Below are 6,000 nucleotides of genomic sequence, written 5' to 3'. Positions count from 1 at the left end.
TACCTGACATCTAGCAATCACTAGAGTAGGAAATGAGTATAGATCAGCAACAAGTCCAGCCTTTACAGTTGCAGCAGAGGTTTCCTGTGGCTCGAGTGTGGCGAGTCCCGGAAACCTCGGAGCCCGCAGACTTCCCTTCGCGGGAGCCCGCCCGAACTCCATCCTTTGCCGGCAGCCACGCCCCGCAGTGGGAAGGAGGGACTGAAAAGCATTTCCTTGAGGCTGGCACACCTTGCCCTACCCAACCCTGTCATTATTTCCCCTCCGACTGGGCCGGTGCCATCGGAAACCGGAGTGACCAGAGGAGGGACACGGTAGTGAACGGGGTATGGGGGGCGGGCGCGGCGGGGAGGGTAAAGAAGGTGGGAAGGGAATGGCAGCGAGGCAGCTGGGGGAGGACTTTGCAGTTGGGGAGGGAGAAAAAGGGAAGAGGCTGGGAGCGGAACGGGTGTTTATGTGAACAAACAGAAATCACCAAGTGAATTAACCTGTGTTTCTTCGGAACCAGCATCTTGTGGGGTTTGGCTTCTGTGTTTCTATATGATAAGGGAGTAAACCTGACTCAGCAGATTTGGTGCAGAGAGAAACATGAGAAAACCCAGGAATGGGGGACCTCTGTTTATTCCTGGAGAGGGGGCCATCAGGAGAGGGGGAAGGGAAAGAATGAGGTTACAGGAATTACTTGTCAGAGGACTGCATAGCCTTTCAGACCATGGAATCGTTGCTTTCAGCTTCGGCTTCCTCATCTGCAAAGCATAAATACGGTAATTACTTTCCAGGGTTGTTGCGATATTTAAATGAGATATCAATAACCATGCTTTAAAAGTGTACAGCCTGATGTGCTATCCCTTGTTGACTGAATCTCTGTTTTCTTTCCTTCTTTTTATTTGGGGTGGGGAGTGGGGGAGGGAGTCTTGCTCTGTCACTCAGGCTGGAGTGCAATGGCGCGATCTCGGTTCACTGCAACCTCCGCCTCCCAGGTTCAAGCGATTCTCCTGCCTCAGCCTCCCAAGTAGCTGGGATTACAGGCTCCCACCACCACGGCCGGCTATTTATTTTTTTGTATTTTTAGTAGAGACGGGGTTTCACCATTTTAGCCTCTGTTTTCTTTTCAATGTCTTTTTTCCTCTTTCATTTTTCTCTATCAACCCTTCATCCCCCCTTTCTTTCTTTCATTTATGCGATTGTTGCTTCCTTCTGTAATGGGTCCTCTCCACATTGGAGTTTCTTATACCTATGAGACCACACTTCCTTCCCACTCGGTGGGAAGTAGTGGCAATAAAGGAGTCGAGTTACTGTAATGTGCAGCACAGCTCAACTGAAATACACCTGGAAACAGAACTCTGTGCTGTCTACCTGGTTTTTCCCCCTCAATGCACCGGAATCTCCACTGACAGCTAGCTAGGGGGCAGCTAGGTCTTTCAATGAGACATCATGAAGTATTTGCTTCAATGAAAATCATATACTTTTTCGTTCAGTGCCTCCATTACTGTGTGAGTTTGCTAGGGCTGCTGTAACAAGGTACCACAAACTGCATGGCTTTTGGCACCAGGCACCAGGGACTGATTTTGTGGAAGACAATTTTTTTCACAGATGCCGATGAGGTTGGCGGGAGATGGTTTCAGAATGAAACTGTTCCACCTTACGTCATCAGGCATTAGAGTCTCATAAGGAGTTCGCAACCTATATCCCTCACATGAGCAGTTCACAATAGGGTTCACGCTCCTATGACAATCTAATGCTAGTGGGCACGGTGGCTCACACCTGTAATCACACCACTTTAGGAGGAGTTGGTGGGTGGATCGCCCTGAGTTCAGGAGTTTGAGACCAGCCTGGGCAACTTGGCGAAACCCATCTCTACCAAAAATACAAGAGGAAGAAAAAGAAAGAAAATCTAATGTCGTGGCTTATCTGACAGGAGGAGGAGCTCAGGAGGCAATGACAGCGATGGGGAGTGGCTGTAAATGCAGATGAAGCTTTGCTGGCTCACCTGCCTCTGATTTCCTGCTGTGCACCCCGTACCTGTCGGCGCCCCGGGTGTTGGTGACCTCTGGCTTAAACAACGAAATGATTTTCTCACAGTTCAGTAGGCTGGCTATCCAAAACTAACATGTTATGAAGCCTGCATCTATTCCAGGCCTCTTTCTTTGGCTTGTAGATGGCTGTCTTGATGTTTATATGGTGTTCTCCCTGTATATATGTCTCTGAATTTCCCCTTTTTATAAGGACACTAGTCTTATTGGATTAGGGTCCATCCTAATTACCTCATTTTAATTGATTATCTCTGCACTATCATCTCCCAATAAAGTTACATTATGAGTTACTGGGGGTTAGAATGTCAGCATATTAATTTTGAGAGGGTGTACAGTTCAACCCTTTAACAACTAATGTCTTTAATTATGCACAAGTTAGTTGAGCATTGCATGTATTTCAGTTTTCTCTGGCAGAAACTATTTCCCACCTGTCCCAAACCCTCACAACCAGTCCCAACCAACATGTGCTCCGAAGATCTGCCAGGAGTTATGTGATTCTGCAGCTCTGTTTTCTTTTAACCTGAGTGTGTACATTTCCTGTTGCCACTGTAACAAATTACCACAATGGTGGTGGCTTTAAACAACATAAAGTTTTATCTTACAGTTCTGGGGGTCAGAAGTAAAAATGGATGGGCAGGTTTCCAAATGGATGGTTCTTTTTGGAGGCTCTAAGGGAGAATCAATTTCCTTGCCTCCTTCAGTCTCTAGAGGCTGCTACAGTCCTTGGCTCATGGACCCTTCCTCCATCTTCAAAGCCAGGAATGGCCGGTAAAGTGTTTCTCATGTCTTATGCTGACGCTCACTTTTGCCTTTCTCACACTTAAGGATTCTTGTAATTGCACTGGACTCACTGAGTATTCCAGGGTAATCTTTCTATTTTAAGGTCAGTTGATTCATTCCATCTGTAACCTTAATTCCCCTTCGCTATTTCAACGCTATTAAAAATCAACATGGCCAGGCGTGGTGGCTCACGCCTGTTAATCCCAGCACTTTGGGAGGCTGAGGTGGGCGGATCACGAGGTCAGGAGATCGAGACCATCCTGGCTAACAAAGTGAAACCCCATCTCTACTAAAAATACAAAAAATTAGCTGGGCGTGGTGGCGGGCGCCTGTAGTCCCAGCTAATCAGAGGCTGAGGCAGGAGAATGGCGTGAATCCAGGAGGCGGAGCTTGCAGTGAGCTGAGGTCGCGCCACTGCACTCCAGCCTGGGCGACAGAGCCAGACTGTCAAAAAAAAAAAAAAAAAAAAAATCAATATATTCATAGGTTCTGGAGATTAGGACATGGACATCTTTGGGAAGCCATTATTCTGCCTACTGTACCTGAGCTTTCCCAACTGGGTATTCTTTATTTTTATTATATGTATATTTAAAATTTATGTTTAATTAAAAAAATTAAAAATTATATATATATTTATCATATACATGTTGTTTTGAAATATGTATATATTGTGGAATAGTTAAATTAAGCTAATTAACATAGTATTATTTCACATATTTTTGTGATGAGAACACTTAACATCTACTGTCTTAGCAATTTTCAAGAATACAATACATAGTTATTAACTGTAGCCACCATGTTGTACAATAGATCTCTTGACCTTATTCCTCCTAACAAGGAGGAATAAGGTCATACCCTTTCATATCCTTTGACGTCTTTCTAACCCCTCGAATTCCCCCAACCTCTGGTAACCATCTTTCTATTCTCTACTTTTATGAGTTCAACTTTTTCAGATTCTACATATAAGTGAGTTCCTATGATATTTTTCTTTTCGTGCCTAGCTTATTTCACTTAACATAATATCTCCTGGGTTCATCCATGTTGTCAATTTCCATTTTTCAAAAGGCTGAATAATAGTTCATTGTGTTTATACTGTATGTATTTATACTTTATTCATTTATCCATTGATGGACATTTACATTGATTCCATCTCTTGGATATTGTGAACAATGCTGCAATAAACATGGCGTGCAGACAGCAGTATGTGAAATCAGACACACTGATTTCATTTTCTTGCTATCTATACACAGAAGGCAAAACATTGAGCCTTCAGAATAAAAGTAAGATAATATACTGAATAAAGAACATTATATACAAAAGTCAGATCACTATTGGATGTATACCGAATAGTGGGATTGCTGGATCATATAGTAGTTTACTTTTAATTTTTTGAGGAACTTTCATACTGTTTCCCTAACGGTTGTACTAATTTACATTCCCACCAACAGTGTGCAAGCATTCCCCTTTCTCTATATCCTCTCCAACACTTATTTTTCATCTTTTCGATAATAGCTATTCTAACAGGTATGAGGTAATAGCTCATTTTGGTTTTAACTTGCATTTTCCCTGATGATCAGTGATGTTGAATATTTTTTCACATATGTGTTGGTCATTTGTGTGTCTTCTTTTGAGAAATGTCTATTCAGGTCCTTTGTTCATTTTTAGTACAGTTATTTGTTTTCCCCCTATTGTTTTAGTTCCCTATGTATTTTGGATATTAATCACTTACCGGATATTAATCACTTCTCAGATATTTCTACCATTCCATGGGTTATCTCTTCACTCTGTTGATTTTTTCCTTGGTTGTGCAGAAATTTTTTAGTTTGATGTAACCCCATTTGTCTATTTTTGCTTTTGTTGCCTGTGCTTTTGGGTTTATGTCCAAAAAAACATTGCCTAGCCTAATATGATGGACCTTTTCTCTGTGTTCTCTTCTAGTACTTTCACAGTGTCAGATCTTACATTTAAGTCTTTAATCCATTTTGAGTTGATTTTTGTACATGGTGTTCTTTATTGAGTATATTATCTATTTTTATTCTGAAGGCTCAATGTTTTGCCTGCTGTGTATAGAAAGCAAAGAACTTTAAATCTTTTTTCTGAAGAAAAACAACCTGCTTAATGATGGAACAAAAAATGTGTCCCTATCGAACAGAAACCTGGGTACCATGTACTTGCTATATATACTGTTAAAAACTACTCCCCATTCCCCCTTGTACTTTTAGTATTATAGCTTAATCCTTTATGCCCCATTAGTTTCTATAGGTTATTTTTCTATAAAAATTTCTTGCAGATCCAATGCTATTTTCATAGATGAATTAGCTACTTATTTATTCAACAATCATATGAATTCTGATATATGCCAGACACTGCTCTTGGTGCTAGGGATACAGCAATGAACAAAATAGCTGGTCCCTAAACTTTTATTCCCATGAAGGTTTCATGCTTTTTCTTCTTCCTTTGCCAGTTCATTTTTGTCCTCCCCACCAGCCCAGGCTCAGCCAGTCTCTAGTTCTCCAACATGCTTTCTGAATTTAGATGTGGCTACTGTTCTGTGCCTACTTCTGGGCTGGGCTAATGAGGGACCTAAAGAAGCTGACTGTGCTCTCCAGGAAATTAAAGTCTTGTTGGGAAGAAACAGATAATAATAGGCAAACTGGTTAAGTACTGAATAAGTAGGTTGGGTATTAGATATCATGTCTTGGCATAGTGTCTAACTGGAGAAAGTGAAAGTAGAAGGGAACGAATGTGCACAAAGGTAAAGAAGCTAATTACGGCTGGGTGCAGTGGCTCACACCTGTAATCCCAACACTTTGGGAGGCTGAGGCGGGCGGATCACCTGAGGTCAGGAGTTCGAGAGCAGCTTTGCCAACATGGTGAAACCCCATCTCTAGTAAATATACAAAAAAAAAAAAAAAAAAAAAAAAAAAGCCAGGTGTGGTGACAGGTGCCTATAATCCCAGCTACTCGGGAGGCTGAGGCAGGAGATTAGCTTGAACCTGGGAGGCGGAGGTTGCAGTGAGCCAAGATCGTACCACTGCACTCCAGCCTAGGCAACAAGAGTGAAACTCTGTCTAAAAAAAAAAAGAAGAAGAAGTAGAAGAAAAAACAGCAGCAGCAGCAGCAGCAAATTACACAGACAGACAGTGTAGAGTGGACAGAGTCCTCTCTCAGTCCGGGGGACCTGAAA

At 42.2% G+C, this 6,000-nt stretch overlaps 1 protein-coding gene across 5 annotated transcripts in view; it reads left to right on the top strand.

Annotated features, from left to right (window-relative positions):
- Nucleotides 1–227: 227 nt before the first annotated feature.
- STYK1 (serine/threonine/tyrosine kinase 1) overlaps nucleotides 228–6,000 on the top strand; it is a 55,130-nt gene continuing 49,357 nt past the window's right edge. For 4 of the 5 annotated variants that reach the window (XM_005253417.3, XM_047429099.1, NM_018423.3 and 1 more), the window contains exon 1: nucleotides 228–314. The gene's annotated coding sequence lies outside the window, so the exon portion shown is untranslated. Of the gene's footprint in view, nucleotides 765–6,000 lie in introns of all 5 variants that reach the window. The other variant, XM_011520738.3, reaches the window with a different exon arrangement.

This window comes from Homo sapiens, chromosome 12 (genome assembly GCF_000001405.40).
Source record: "Homo sapiens chromosome 12, GRCh38.p14 Primary Assembly".
NCBI lineage: Eukaryota > Metazoa > Chordata > Mammalia > Primates > Hominidae > Homo > Homo sapiens.
This window is presented reverse-complemented; position numbering and strand designations above follow the sequence as displayed.